Source organism: Homo sapiens, chromosome 17 (genome assembly GCF_000001405.40).
Source record: "Homo sapiens chromosome 17, GRCh38.p14 Primary Assembly".
Taxonomy (NCBI): domain Eukaryota; kingdom Metazoa; phylum Chordata; class Mammalia; order Primates; family Hominidae; genus Homo; species Homo sapiens.
Window position 1 is genome coordinate 2,464,945 of NC_000017.11, and position 16,096 is coordinate 2,481,040.

The 16,096-nt window shown below is 42.5% G+C and overlaps 1 protein-coding gene across 5 annotated transcripts in view, besides 1 other annotated feature; it reads right to left on the bottom strand.

The window, feature by feature from the left end:
• The window catches only part of METTL16 (methyltransferase 16, RNA N6-adenosine), a 96,174-nt gene that overhangs the window by 49,230 nt on the left and 30,848 nt on the right, over positions 1 to 16,096 (bottom strand). For 3 of the 5 annotated variants that reach the window (XR_007065448.1, XM_047436697.1, NM_024086.4), the window contains 3 exons: positions 12,742 to 12,941; positions 8,580 to 8,720; positions 2,817 to 2,932 (listed from right to left, as the gene is read on the bottom strand). Coding sequence is in view for 2 of the 5 variants with exons in the window: in NM_024086.4 (NP_076991.3) it covers positions 2,817 to 2,932; positions 8,580 to 8,720; positions 12,742 to 12,941 (457 nt within the window). In the remaining 3 variants the exon portion in view is untranslated. Of the gene's footprint in view, positions 1 to 2,109; positions 2,296 to 2,816; positions 2,933 to 8,579; positions 8,721 to 12,741; positions 12,942 to 16,096 lie in introns of those variants that run through there. The other 2 variants (XM_047436698.1, XM_024450928.2) reach the window with 2 other exon arrangements.
• Positions 14,802 to 14,981: a silencer, noted in NCBI's record as "fragment chr17:2383040-2383219 (GRCh37/hg19 assembly coordinates)". NCBI's record gives its function as "represses an EF-1alpha promoter that drives an FKBP-Casp9 reporter gene in an ReSE screen in K562 erythroleukemia cells {active_cell/tissue: K562}" and the evidence as "EXISTENCE:reporter gene assay evidence [ECO:0000049][PMID:32094911]".

The window sequence follows — 16,096 nt, forward strand, 5'->3', positions numbered from 1 at the left end:
AAAACTTCTGAGCTGCAAAGGGCACCGTCAAGAAAGTGAGAAGACAACCCACAGGAAGGGAATGTTTGCAAATCACTATCTAATAAGGAACTTGCTTATAAAGAATGCTTACAACTTAATAATAAAAACAAAAACAAACCAACTTAAACGTGAGCAAAAGATATGAATAAGCATTTCTCCAAAGAAGATATGTAAATGGCCAATAAGCACGTGAAAAGATGCTCAGCATCATCAGTCATCAGGGAAATCCTAATCAAAACCACAGTGAGATACCACTTTTTACCCACTAGGATGGCTATAATCAAAAAGACAGATCAGGCCGGGCGCGGTGGCTCATGTCTGTCATCCCAGCACTTTAGGAGGCCGAGGCGGGAGGATCACGAGGTCAGGAGATTGAGACCATCCTGGCTAACAAAGTGAAACCCCATCTCTACTAAAAAAAAATACAAAAAATTAGCTGGGCGTGGTGGCTCACGCCTGTAGTCCCAGCTACTCGGGGGGCTGAGGCAGGAGAATCGCTTGAATCCAGGAGGCAGAGGTTGCAGTGAAACGAGATCACGCCACTGCACTCCAGCCTGGGCGACAGAGCAAGACTCCATCTCAAAAAAAAAAAAAAAAAAAAAAAAAGACAGATCAGGCTGGGCATGGTGGCTCATGCCTGTAATCCTAGCATCTGGGGAGGCCAAGGTGGGCAGATCACTTGAGGTCAGGATTTCGAGACCAGCCTGGCCAACATGGTAAAACCCTGTCTCTAATAAAAATGCAAAAAAAATTAGCCACACGCGGTGGTGTCCACCAGGAGTCCCAGCAACTCAGGAGGCTGAGGCATGAGAATCACTTGAACCTAGGAGGTGGAGGTTGCGGTGAGCAGAGATCTCACCACTGCACTCCAGCCTTGGCAACAGAACAAGACTCCATTCCCCACACCCCCCGACCTCAAAAAAAAAAGGACAAATAAGAAGTGTTGACCGGGTGTGATGGCTTACACCTGTAATCCCAGCACTTTGGGAGGCCAAGGCAGGTAGATCACTTGAGGTCAGGAGTTTGAGACCAGCCTGGCCAACATGGCGAAACCCCGTCTCTACTAAAAATACAAAAATTAGCCGGGCGTGGAGGTGCACGCTTATGATCCCAGCTACTCAGAAGGCTGAGGCAGGAGAATTGCTTGAACCTGGGAGGTGGAGGTTGCAGTGAGCTGAGATCACGCCACTACACTCCAGCCTGGGTGACAAGAGTAAGACTCTGTCACAAAAAAAAAAAAAAAAAAAGCCACTTAACAGTAAAAACATTGATTTCCTTCCTAAGCCAAGAAGCTCAGTCCAGGAGTGGACTATGACCTGAGTTGGTCCAATGAGAAGAAAATCAAATGTTCAATGGTTTAGGGAAGAAAAAAGCTCTCTCCTCACCCTCCCACCCTCTAAATATTGCTGTACCACAAGTAAACCAGCTTAAGAACAAAAACAACCATAGAACAAGTCACAGCCAAGAGAAAAACAGAGCTCTTAATACTGCCAACACCTTAATCAAGTCATTATGAAATCCCAACTACTGCTGGGTTTCTCAAATATGTCAGCCAATGAACTTTCTTTGTCGTTAAGTCAATCTAAATTGGGTTTTTAGGTACAGGACTCCTCGGTATCTGAGGAAGATCTGCCTTAGATACCAAAATCCAAGGAAGCTCAAGTCCCTTTTATCACATGGGGTAGGATTTGAATTTCACCTGCCCACATCATCTGGTATACTTTCAATAATTCCTAGATTAGTTATAATACCTTATACAATGTGAATGCTATGTAAAAATAGTGATACTGTATTTTTGTATTATTTTTCATTGTTACATTGTTATTTTTTTTTGTTTTCTTTTTTTCCCAAAATATTTTTTTTTTGAGACAGGGTTACCGAGGCTGGAGTGCAGTAACACGATCCTGGCTCAATGCAACCTGCACCTCCTGGGCTCAAGCCTTCCTCCCACCTCAGCCTCCCAAGTAGCTGGGTCTACAGGCACACGCCATAGTGCCTGGTTAATTGTTTTTGTAGTTTTTGTAGAGACAGGGCTTCACCACGTTGCCCAGGCTGGTTTTGAACTCCGAGCTCAAGCTATCCACCCACCTCAGCCTCCCAAAGTACTGGGATTACAAGTGTGAGTCACCGTGCAAGCTTCCCAATGCTTTCAATGCATGGCTGGCTGAATCCACGATGCGGAACCCACAGGTGTAGGACCTGTGGATACAGAGAGCCGAAAGTACTTCAAACCAAAAGCCCCCTAACTGGTATACAGCTTTCAAAAGCGAGGCACTGCAGCACACGCCTATGGCCTCAGCTACTAGGGGAGCTGACGGGCGGGGGACTGCTTGAGTCCGGATGTTCAAGACCAGCTTGAGCAACACAGCGAGACCTCATCTCAAATATATTAATTTAAAAAATAGTAAGTTAATTTTTTAAAGTTTTCTTTGCTCTTATCTGTGCAAATAAGGCAAATTTAGATTTTTTTTTCTTTTTGAGATAGAGTCTTGCCCTGTAGCCCAGGCTGGAGTGCAATGGCGCAATCTTGGCCCACTGCAACCTCTGCCTCCCGGGTTCTAGCGATTCTCCTGCCTCAACCTCCCAAGTAGCTGGGATTACAGGCATGGGCCATGACGCCTGGCTAATTTTTTTGTATCTTTAGTAGAGACGGAGTTTCACCATGTTGGCCAGGCTGGTCTCAAACTCCTGACTTCATGATTCACCCGCCTTGGCCTCCCAAAGTGCAGGGATTACAGGCGTGAGCCACCGCGCCCAGCCTATATTCAATTATTTTAAAGCAGAAGACATTTTACCTTGGCTTCCAATTGATTGGCAAAAAAGGGAGGGTTGCACATGCAAAAGTCATAGATTATCTCAGATTCTTCTTTAAGAGCATCCATCAGGAGTGTCTTCTGTGGCACTTTCACCACTAGGAGAAAAAACAGGACTGTGAACTAATATTAATGTTGCAGTGGTTCTAAAGTATAACCGCGCACTGCGTAATGATTCTTTGGTCAACTGCATATATGATGGTGGTCCCGTAAGATTATAACACCACATTTTTACTGTACCTTTTCTATGTTTGATATGCTTAGATAGACAAATACCATTGTGCTAAAATGGCCTTCAGTATTCAATACAGTGACATACTGTTCAGGTTATAGCCTAGGAGCCACAGGCTATTACACATAGGCCCAGGTGTGTAGTAGGCTACACCATTCAGGTGTGTGTGAGCACACACTACGATGAATCACCTAACAATGCATTTCTCAGAATATATCCCTGCTGTTAAGTAAGGTGTGACTGTATGTCCTCAAACTCTTCGACAGTACTCCCTTCAGGAGATGGAGTTTAATTTCCCTCCCCTTAAGTATAGGCTGCATTTTAAGGACACTCAAATAGCTTCATGGAGAGATCCACATGGCTATGAACTAGGGTTTCCTTCCAAGAGTCGTGTGAGTGAGCCATGAGTAAGCCATCTTGGAAGCAAATCTCTACCACCCATACATCCTTCAGATGACTGTAGCTCTAGCCAACAACTTGACCGCAAATGCATCAAAGGGTCTCAGCTAGAACCACTCAACTAAGCCATGCCAAAATTTATGACCCATAGGAACTAGGAGATAAATGTTTATTGTTTAAAGTTGCTAGGGCCAAGTGTGATGGTTCATGCCTGTAATCCCAGTGCTTTGGGAGGCCAAGACGGGAGAACTGCTTGAGACCAAGAGTTCCAGATTAACCTGGGCAATACAGCAAGAACCTATCTCTACAAAAATTTTAAAAATAAGAAAATTATCTGAGCATGGTGGTACGAGCCTGTAATTCCAGCTACTTGGGAGGCTAAAGTGAGAGACTGCTTGAGCCCAGGAGGCTGAGGCTGCAGCGAGCCATGATCACGCCACGGCACACCGGCATGGATGACAGAGTGAGACCCTGTCTCTAATAAAAAAATGTTTTTTTTTTGTTGTTGTGTGTGTGTGTTTTTTTTTTCTAAAAGGCTCCTAGCGCCAGGCATGGTGGCTCATGCCTATAATTCCAACACTTCGGGAGGCCGAGGCAGGTGGATCACTTGAGGTCAGGAGTTCGAGACCTGCCTGGCCAACATGGTGAAACCCTGTCCCTACTAAAAAATTACAAAACTTAGACGGGTGTGGTGGTGGGCACCTACAATCCCAGCTACTCAGGAGGCTGAGGCAGGAGAATCACTTGAACCTGGGAGACAGAGGTTGCAGTGAGCAGCAGATTGTGCCATTGCACTCCAGCCTGGGCGACACAGCAAGACTCTGTCTCAAAAAATAAAAAATAAAAATAAATAAATAAATAGGCTCCTAGATTTTGGAATAATTTGTTACACAACAATGGAGAAATAAAACAAATGCACTAATAATATTAATGTCTCCCCTTACAAAGATATGTTCAATACTATGAAGAAAAGTCTTATTTCTTTCATAAAGAGACATAAAATCTCTTTAACGGAAAAAAAATTAACACTGCTTTATACACAGAATGGTCACAAAAATAAAAAGTAACTAATCACAAGGGGATTTGACTATTTCTAGCACAGTTCTATGTACTGAAATTATTATTTGTTTTTGAGACACAGTCTCATTCTGTAGAACAGGATAGAGTGCAGCGGCGAGATCTCCACTCAACTGCAACCTCTGCCTCCTGGGTTCAAGCGATTCTCCTGCCTCAGCCTCCCAAGTAGCTGGGATTACAGATGCCCATCACCACGCCTGGCTAATTTTTGTATTTTTAGTAGAGATGGAGTTGCACCATGTTGGTCAGGCTGGTCTCAAACTCCTCACCTCAGACAATCTGCTTCGGCCTCCCAAAGAGCTGGGATTACAGGTGTGAGCCACCGCACCCGGCCTATGTACTGAAATTAAAAAGATGGTATAGTTTAATCAACAGTAGGGTTTCCTTCCTTTTAAAATCTTGGTGACTAAGTTACTTCATATATAGTCAATTCTCATTATCTGCGCTAGTTATATTCTACAAAGTAGCCACAAATAGTCAATGAGTGAATACTGAACCACTGATTCCCAGGGGAAATACAGGGTTAGGTTCCTACAAGTCTCTCTTCGTATTTTCATCAACTGATAGACACACAACCTTATTTTATGGTGTTCCTGTTCAAAGACACTTTATCGAATATATGTCGCTGATTCACTAACACTGAACTCATGGCCAACAGCACTACAGCTCGCGTCTGAAGGAAGCTTGTCTAACACACGTGTTTTCTCTGTAAGGCACATCACAGCCTTTTTGCACTGAGGAACACAAGACAGCCTTTCAGCACTATGTTTAGGGACTATTTTAAACAGCAAAATCACCAAGAGAAAGCACAAAAATGAAAAAGAAAAAAAAAACCCCAAAACGTGGTATTAAATAGACCAATAAAAGGACGCTTGGTTCACAGTCCGGAAGCTGGAGTAAGAAGGCAGAGCATTGCCTTGTTGAGCCTCAGCTGGGAACATGCACACTGGGGCAACTCCAATTATTTGCCACTATGCACAAGTCTGTGAATGACCACAAAAGTACCATGAATGTCAATTTTAAGTTAAAAATAAATTTTAGGTTGGGGGCAGTGGCTCATGCCTGTAACTCCAGCACTTTGGGAGGCTGAGGCCAGAAAATCACTCAAGCCCAGGAGTTCAAGACCAGCCTGGGCAACACGGTAAGACCCCATCTCTACAAAAAAAACACAAAAATTAGCCAGGCGTGGTGGCACGCACTGGCAGTCTCAGCTACTCACAAGGCTGAGGCTGGATGATTACCTGAACATAGGAGGTTGAGGCTACAGTGAACCACTACACTCCAGCCTGGGTGACAGTGAGACCCTGTCTCTAAAATTAAATAAGTAAATACCTTCATGCATACAAACATATACATACACTTTAGCTATTGATAAACTAATTGTAAAGTTTATTTGGAGAGGCAAAAGACTCAGGATAGCCAACACAATACTGAAAGAGAAGAGGCAAGTTAAAAAACTGACACTACCCAATTCTAAGACTTACTACAAAGCTACTGTAATCAAAACAGTATGTTTTTAGTGAATGAATAGATCAACAGAAGAGAATAGATATAGTCTTTTCAAGAACTGATACTGGCACATCACTTGGACATCCACATGCATAAAATGAATCTAGACAAAGACCTTATATCCCTCACAAAATTTAACTCAAAACAGATCACAGACCTAAATGTAAAATGCAAGACTATAAAACTCCTAGAAAGTAACAGAGTCCTGCTCTGTTTCCCAGGCTGGGGTGCAGCGTCGCAATCTCAGCTCACTGCAACCTCCGCCTCCCAGGTTCAAGTGATTCTTGTTCCTCAGCCACCTGAGTCACTGGGATTACATGCATGCGCCACCACGCTGGCTAATTTTTGTATTTTTAGTAGAGATGGGGGTTTCATCATATAGGCCAGGCTGGTCTCGAACTCCTGACCGGAAGGATCTACCCACCTCAGCCTCCCAGCATGCTGAGATTACAGCACTTTTTGGATATAATACCAACAGTACTGTATACCATTCCTTAAAAGAAGGGATCAATGGCCAGGTGCAGTGGCTCACGCCTGTAATCCCAGTACTTTGGGAGGCCGAGGCGGGCAGATCACGAGGTCAGGAGATCGAGACCATCCTGGCTAACATAGTGAAACCCCGTCTCTACTGAAAATACAAAAAATTGGCCAGGCACGGTGGCGGGCGCCTGTAGTCCCAGCTACTCGGGAGGTGAGGCAGGAGAATGGTGTGAACCCAGCAGGCGGAGCTTGCAATGAGCCGAGATTGCGCCACTGCACTCCAGCCTGGCGACAGAGCGAGACTCCATCTCAAAAAATAAAAAATAAAAATAAGAAGGGATCAATAAGCTGGGCTTGGCTGGGGGCAGTAGCTCATGTCTATCATTCCAACGTTCTAGGAGGTCCAGACAAGAGAATCACTTGAGGACAGGAGTTTGAGACCAGCCTGGGCAACATGGTGAAACCCCATCTCTACTAAAAATACAAAAATTAGCTGGGCGTGGTGGCAGGCGCCTGTCATCTCAGCTACTTAGGAGGCTGAAGCAGGAGAATTGCTTGAACCCAGGAGGCAGAGGTTGCAGTGAGCCAAGATCATACCATTGCATTCCAGCCTGGGGAACAAGAGCAAAACTAAGTCTCAAAAAAAAAAAAAGGGCAAAAGGCCTGAACAGACATCTCACCAAAAAAGATATACAGATGGTAAATAAGCACATGAAAAGATGCTCCACATGAATATCAGCAAAATGCAAATTAAAATAATGAAATACCACTACACGCCTATTAGAACGGCCAAAATCCAGAACACCGACAGCACCCAGCACCCAGTGCTGGCAAGGATGTGAGCAACAGGAACTTTCATCCATTGCTGCTGGGAGTGCAAAACAGTACTCTGGAAGACAGTTTAGTGGTTTCTTACAAAATTAAACATACTATTACCATACCATCCAGCAAGCACACTGCTTGGTATTTACCTAAAGGAGTCAAAAACTTACATGCACAGAAAAAGCTGCGCACAGATGTTTCTCACAACTTTATTTGTAATTGTCAAAATTCGAAAGCAATCAAGATGTCCTTCAATAGGTGAATGGAGAAACTCTGGTACACCCAGATAATGGAATATCAAAATGAAATGTGCTAAAAATAAATGAGCTTTCTGCAATTAGAGAGGCAGCAGGAAAAAAAAAATTAAAAGAATAAAAAAAAGCTATCAAACTATAAAAAGACATTAGGAAATTTAAATAAATGTCACTAAGTGGAAGAAGCCAATCTGAAAAGTCTATATACTGTATGATTCCAATTATATGACATTCTGGAAAATGTAAAACTGTGGAGACAGTAAAAAGGTCAGTAGTTTCCTGGGGTTGGGGGCAGTGAGAGATGGACAGTTGAGGCACAGAAGACGGCAGGGCAGTGAAACGATTCTGTGTATACCGTACTGGGAGATACATGTCAGCTTCATTATTCCAAAACTACAGAATGTACACCACCAAGAGGAAACCGTAATGTAAAGAATGAACTGTGGGTGATAATGATGTGCCAGCATAGGTTCATCACCTGTAACAAATATCCCACTCTGTTGGGGGATGCTGATAATGGAGAAGGCTATGCGTGTGTGGGGGCAGGGATATACAGGGAATCTCTGAACCTTTCACTTCATTTTGCTATGAACCTAAAAATGCCCTAAAAAATAAACTCAACAAACAAACAAAAAACCCCCACTTAAAGTCTCTGGAAATGTTTCTAAGGGGTTATAGCGAATAAAGAAACATTTATTCAAGAAAATCTACTAAAATAAATGAATGGATAAATAAATAAATTTAGGCAAATAGGCAAATTCACAAAAAAAGAATCCACAAATCATAAGGATCAACTGTAGTTACTATTTTCTGAGTTAATTCTGGTATCAAGACAGCAAACCCAATTACAAAGTGCCAGATTTTTTTAAATTACCGAAGTCTGTGTATTAAAGAAAAAGGTAATGAAATGCGTTAAACTAAAAAGGCAGGTGAAGACACAAAGTTTGGAGGCATTCATTCTGTGGCGCTAACCTTTTATGAGATCAGATAAGTTATTCTGTTCCACATTTTTCTTTGCATAGTTGAAACACATATCATCCACTTCTGTTGCGAGGAAATACCAGCCATTCAAGGTTGCTCCAAGTAAGGGGTAGATGCAAGATGCCCCCGTGCCTAATAAAATAAAAATACAAAACACATTCTACACACCAGAGGGAAAGGTTACAATAATCATGAAAACACCATTCTTCTCAGAATTCTGTTTGCAGACAGGGTCTCACTCTGTCGCCCAGGCTACAGTGCAGTGGTGTGATCACGGTTCACTGCAGCCTCAACTTTCTGGGCTCAGGCGATTCTCCCTGCTCAGCCTCCTGAGTACCTGGGACTACAGGTGCATGCCACCATGCCTGGCTATTTTTTGTATTTTCTGTAATTTTTGTATTTTTTGGCAGAGAAATCACAAGCTGGTACCTGATGTCATACATGTTATGGCTACTGGGTTCCCTAGTCATTCGTGTATGTTAGTCCTACCTCCTAATTAGATCCAACTTCCTAAAGGATCGAAACCTTGCTGGCCTCCTCTTTCGTGTGTTGTATAAAAAATGAAGAACACACAAGCAGAGGTCGAGGAATACATGACTAATTCACCTAAAATGCTCAAAACTCAGCTGATTTACTTTGTAAAGAGTCTTCATTTTAAATCTCATACAAAACTCAATTTTCTTAAAAGAAAACAATGCTATTTATTAAAATGCCTTTGTAATATCTTAAAATGGATCAATGTACATTCCATTCTCCAAAAGCAGGAAAAAATATGTAGGGTATAAAATGTTTATTATATTAAACTGCTGAATTACCCAAATGTCTGTAAGTTGTCAGCTGAAAGAAACAAAAAGAAAAAAAAAAAAAAAAAAAAAGCTAAACTAAAGAGATAACTCATCTCTCAGATGAGAAGACATGCGAAAATATTTGGTTTGGAGCCACGACATCAGAGTCACTGGCTAGCCCCACCACAGTTTCAAGGGAAGCACTCAAGAGGCAAACGCTCCATGCAAAAAAAAACACTCTTTGACCACTAGGGTTTGGTACTAAATTATGTAGAACCGCTAGCCCTGGACTGGACTATATACTAACCAAGAATATTGTTTTTACAGGCCGGGCGTGGTGGCTCACACCTGTAGTCCCAGCACTTTGGGAGGCCGAGGCAGGCGGACCACCTGAGGTCAGGAGTTCGAGGCCTGCCTGGCCAACATGGTGAAACCCCATCTCTACTAAAAGTACAAAAATTAGCTGGGCATGATGGTGGGTACCTCCAGCTACTCAGGAGGCTGAGGCAGGAGAATCGCTCGAACCTGGGAGGCGGAGGTTGCAGTGAGCCGAGATCGTGCCATTGCACTCCAGCCTAGGTGACATCAAGTCTCTCTCTCTCTCTCTCTCTCTTACAATATTGACTATCTTGGCCAATTAGATCCTAAAGAGTATTATCAAGAGAAGAGTGTTTCTCCCAAAAGCCTAAAGCAGTCAGCCTCTACCAGCCACTCTAGGCCTGCTCTCATCTGACCATATCCCAATTCTGGTCTAGCCTTGTAAGGATTTGCCAGGAAGAAGCAGAGGCTAGATACTCTTAACCCAGAGGAAATCCAGACTCGTCATACTGCTTCCTCATTACGCATCCTGAACAGGCTAGTAAAAGATGATGGCCGCAACATTTAAGCTCTCCGACGGTCACGGTGAACGCTGCATTGCCTACCATTTTTGCCCGAGGGTATCCTGGCCCCAGTGCTACTGGACAAGCACGTCCTTGGATACCTGCGGGGCAGTGAGGGAAGGCGTGGTAAAGGGTATTCGAGGTCCTGTCAGAAACCACAGTTCTTTGGCTGCTGCTAGCCGTTCTAGTAAGCCAAACACACACACAGTAAGAACATGTCAGTTGTACTTTCGACTCTGTAGGAAAAAAATCCAGACCAGATCCTTGACTTTTATACAACTGCCTCTCTCTTCAAACTTCAATTTCATTTAAAAGATAAAAAAGTACACTTACCTCCAGGGTAATAAATACACATAAAAGATTTGTCAGCGCCAAAAAAAGTTTCTTAATTCTTAAGACCCAAAGACTTGCACTCTAATAGAACGCAACAGATTCTCTACTAGTCCTTTACAGGACAGAATGAAATCCCCTCAGAAAGCCAAATGACATTTTTAAATGGGTAATAATCTTTGTAATGACAAATAAAAATGGAAAGTACATAATGGTAGAATTAGAGCAAACTGATGGAGTCTGGGGGAAGAATTTATATAAAACCCTAATTAGAATGGATGTGATTGCAGTTAGGTAGTGCCCCTTGTGAAGAATTGAAATCCATTAACCTCCTCTATCCCCAAGTGCTATTTTAGAGGGTTTGGGGCATAATTAAAATCAAATTAGTACCAACTAGGCTGTCAAGCTTTTTAAGCAAACTAGCTGAGAAGCAGAAGAGGTGAGAAATGCAGAAAGGTGAGAGACGATGACTTGGCTAGGATGGCAGTGGAGATGGAGAGAAGTAGATGATTTCAGAAGTATTTAAGAGACAAAGTCAACAGGAAACAGTGATAGATATTTTTTCACTGCATGTGGAGAAGCAAGTATCAAGGACCACAGGGTGGACTATGGTAGACTCACTGAAACAAGAAACAAAGAGAACCAGGATTAGGGAAACAGAGTGTGGGTTTGGTCTTGGACATAGCAAGTCTGAGATGTTTTTCAGAAATCCAAGTTTCTCATATATATGAGATTGGAGGTCAAGGAAAGTAATCTGAGTTGGAGGAACATATAAATATGTGATTTATTTGCATGGAGTTGGGAAATCGTCATAGAAGTGAATGCAATTACCAGGGTAGGGTGCTGAGTGAGAAAGGAGCTAAAGGCTGAGCCTTATGCAAGGAATACCAGTATCTAGTGGTCAGCTACAGGAAGGTATGCCTGAAAAGTGGAGAACAGTGCAAAGAAATGAAAGAGGAAACCAGCAGTCTGGTGTCATGGAAGCCAATGAAGGAGAGTGAACAAAAGAGAAAGGAGGGATCAATAAATGCCGCTGAAAAGATCATGTAGGATGAGGGCTGAAAATGCATGCAAATATCAAAGTTAAACATTTACTGCTATCTAGAAATTAGGACTGCTATTAGTTCTACTCAGTTAGAAATAGAGGCTGGGCATGGTGGCTCACGCCTGTAATCCCAGCACTTTGGGAGGACGAGGCAGGCGGATCACCTGACGTCAGGAGTTTGAGAACAACCTGATCAACATGGTGAAATCCCACCTCTACTAAAAATACAAAAATTAGCCAGGGGTGGTGGCAGGCACCTGTAATCCCAGCTACTTGGGAGGCTGAGGCAGGAGCATTGCTTGAACCCGGGAGGCGGAGGTTGCAACGAGTCGAGACCGTGCTATTGCACTCCAGCCTGGGCGACAAGAGCAAAATTCCGTTTCAAAAAAAAAAAAAAATCAGAATACGAACACATCAAATAATCCAGAGTAAAAATAAAGCCCAACAGACACAGACATCAAAGTGGTAATCTGAAAAGCTAAATAGGGCCAGGCGTAGTGGCTCATGCCTGTAATCCCAGCACTTTGGGAAGCCAAGGCAGGTGGACTGCTTGAGCCCAGGAGTCAAGACCAACCTGGGCAACACGAGACCCCATCTCAAAATAAAAAAATTTTTAAATTAAAAAAATAAAATGAAAAGCTATATAAATAAGAGCCTCATTTTCATTTTGTACTTCCCTTAACCTCTTGCTCCCTGTTTGGACTGACAATCCCTTCTCAAGAGAAATCAGTGGGAGAAAAGGCCAGGTGTAGTAAAAAAGAACGGTAATGCAGGCTGAGGATCCCTAATCCAAAATGCTTGGGATGAGAAGTGTTTTGGATTTCAATTTTTTTTTCAGATTTTGAAATATGTGCACTATATTTACAGGCTGAACATCCCTAACCCCCAAATCTGGAACGCTCCAACGCACATTGCCTTTGAGCAACACATCAGTGCTCAAAGGTTGCAGATTTTGAAGCATTTCGGATTTTCGGATTAAGGATGCTCAACCTGTATCTGTAGCCAGCTTCTTTTGTACAACAACAAATACCCAGTAGAAAAGTTTACAAAGAATTTGATCTCGCAAAACTTATGAAAACTGTTTAGCCAAAAAAGAATTTAAAATGATATACCTATGTCAATTCCTCTTCGGAGAGTACTTTTGTCAGAATCCTGGTGACCGATCAGATCTTCTACCCAGTGAATATAGTTGAGTCTCAAGGGAACTGTGGGAATTAGTCTCTCCAATGGAATATCAATAGAAAGTCCAAAATCTTCCCTTAGGAGAGTACACGTCAGAGCTCTGACTGCTTCGGGGTCTTTAAAATTAAGGCTGAGGAATAAAGAAAAGGAAGTAAAACTGATTAGTAAGATTCACTATGTTGTACAAGCTCTACGGCAAACAGGCAGAACCAAATACCCATCCGAACCTCCCAGGGAGATCACACACAGTTACACAGAGCACTCATCCCAGTGGCACATACACGAGTGTTTCACACAGTCACAGCTTATGAAAATCAGTACAATCCTCCACCAAAAACACTGCATATCCGTATATGGAGCACAGAGATTAAATGACTCGGCTCAAATTCCTGTCTCGTCGTCTCCTCACTGTGTGACTTTGAACAAGTCATTTACCTCTATGAAAGTGTTTCCTCTGCTGTGAAATGAGGACAGTAATACCAATATCACAATGCTACTGTGAGATGACCTGAGAAGTACTTAGCATAATGTCTGGTGCATAATAACTATTTTACAAATGCTAGCTGTTTTTACTCTTACCATTAACATCATCTGACATTAGCATTCCTTGAAAATCCTACTTAAAAGTGGAAAGAAGTCAGTATAAAAATGTTTAATATGAACACAGGATAAGATACTTAAATATGACAAATATTACAGACATCAAATTTTAAATGTAACTTTTTAAAGCTTTATGAAGTATAATTCACATACTATAAAATTCACCTGTAAGTGTACAATTGAATAGTTTCTAGTATATTAACAGAGTCGTGCAACCATCACCAAAACCCACTTTTAGAACACTCCTATCACCCCAAAAAGCAGAACTCATGACCATTTGCATGTCTTTCCTCATTTCCAACGTTAGCCTGAGGCAACCATTGATGTACTTTCTGTCTTCATAGATTTGCCTTTTCTGGACACTTCAAGTAACTGAAATCATAATGAGGTCTTCTGGTCACTTAACACAAGTTTGTGAGGTTCATCCATTTTGTAACTTGTCAGTGTTTCACTTCTTTTTATGGGCGAATAATGTTCCATAGTAAGAATGACTACATTTTGTTTATCCATTCACCAGTTCCTGAACATCTGGGTTGTTTCCATCACGGTCATGATGGATTGTTGACCATCACGAACAATGCTGCTATGAACATTTACATACAAGTCTTTGTGTGGACATACGTTTTCGCTGCTCTTGGGTAGACAGTCAGGAATGGATCATAAGATATATTTGTATTTAACCTTTTAAGAAACTTGTACCAATATAACTATGTTGATGTCAAAATACTGCTAAACTGAAAATATTAAAAAAGAATATCAACAGACCTTATTTATAAACAGAGCAGGGTCTTTTTTGGTTTTTGTGGGTTTTGTTTTGTTTTGTTTTGTTTTTGAGCCAGGTCCTCACTGTCTCCCAGACTGGAATGCACGGTGTGATCATGGCTCACTGCAGCCTCACCCTCCCAGGCTCAAGTGACCCTCCTGCCTCGGCCCCACAAGTAGCTGGGACTACAGGTGCATACCACCACACTAAGCTTTTTTTTTTTTTTTTTTTCGTAGAGAAAAGGGCCCAGCCCCTTATGTTGCCTCAACTGGTCTTGAACTCCTGGGCCCATGTAATCCTCCCGCCTCAGCCTAAGTGTTGGGATTGCAGGCGTGAACCACTGCACCTGGCCAACAGAGCATTTTGAAGAAAGCAGAAAGTCAGTAGATGGGGTATGAAAGGGAGGAGTTTTGAAACTACTTAGAATTCTGGCCTCAAGGTGTCTGGTCAGGCAACAACACATCCTCAAACAGCTTCTGGTCTGTACTATCTCCTTTTCTGCTCCCCTGCCTGGTCATCAAATGACCAATCATTGGAAAAATTCAATGTCCATCGGGATGCTTGAGTGCCAAGACAGAAGGAAGAGTGCTGTTTCCACCCAGCAACCATGGAAACTTCAGGCAGGTACCATCAACCCAATCTCTCTCCACTCCCCACAGCAAAAATGTTCTAGTATGGAAGTTAGGAGATCTGGACTCCACTTTTGGCTCTGCAATCAATTTGCCATGGACGTAAGTCACTTCAGTTCTTAGGTCTCAGTTTCTCCACCTATAAAAGTAAAGGACTGGCCGGGCACGGTGGCTCACACCTGTAATCCTACCACTTTGGGAGGCTGAGGTGGGTGGATCACCTGAGGTTGGGAGTTCGAGACCAGCCTGACCAACATGGAGAAACCCCAACTCTACTAAAAATACAAAATCAGCCAGGCATGGTGGCGCATGCCTGTAATCCCAGCTACTCAGGAGGCTGAGGCAGGAGAATCGCTTGAACCCGGAAGGCAGAGGTTGCAGTGAGCCGAGACTGTGCCACTGCACTTCAGCCTAGGTGACAGAGAGAGACTCTGTCTCAAAAAAAAAAAAAAAAAGAAAAGAAAAGAAAAAACATACCTTTCACAGGAAAAGACCTTGCAAAAAGATGGATGATGGGCAGCATCAGATTTCATGAATATAGATTTGTTATCTATACAAAAATTGCATTCCATACCTGAATATAATGATTTCGTCTGACCTCTAAGAATGCTTCCAGACACTAACTTATAGGGAGGAAAATGGAAGGGATGAAGAATGAAGCTTTAATATAATCTACAGCAGACAGAAACAGGATGACTATAGTGGACCCTGAAGAGACACAGCCAGAGCCTGGAAGCAATGACGCTCCCATCGCTACGAGCATACCTAGAGTGCCAGACCTTGGTTTCCAAATAGCACTCCCCAAAGGAATCGGAGTTCCTTGGATAAATGGTTATTCCAGAATTGGAAAGGGAAGTACAAGATAAACCCGAAGCATTTTATTGTATTAGAAAACAGGACATGCTGAAAGGAAGATAGAAACAAATCAGAAGTACACTAGACCCTGCTTGATGGGGCTCCCTTTGGCCAAATCTGTGTCAATGTGAATGAAGAAGGCTAACAAAGGATTATAGACCATAGAATAAAATACATGAGTCCATCCTTAAATGTAGAAGTAATGAAAGAGTTAGATAATTACATTTGGCAATCGCCATGCTAATAATTGTTTCAATTAAGAATTATCAATGGATGCTAAAAATAATGAGTAAAAGTTTGTTGAAAAACAGGATATTGGGCTGGGCACGGCAGCTCACACCTGTAATCCCAACACTTTGGGAGGCCAAGGCAGATGGATCACTTGAGGTCAGGAGTTCAAGACCAGCTTGGCCAACATGGTGCAACTCCATCTCTATC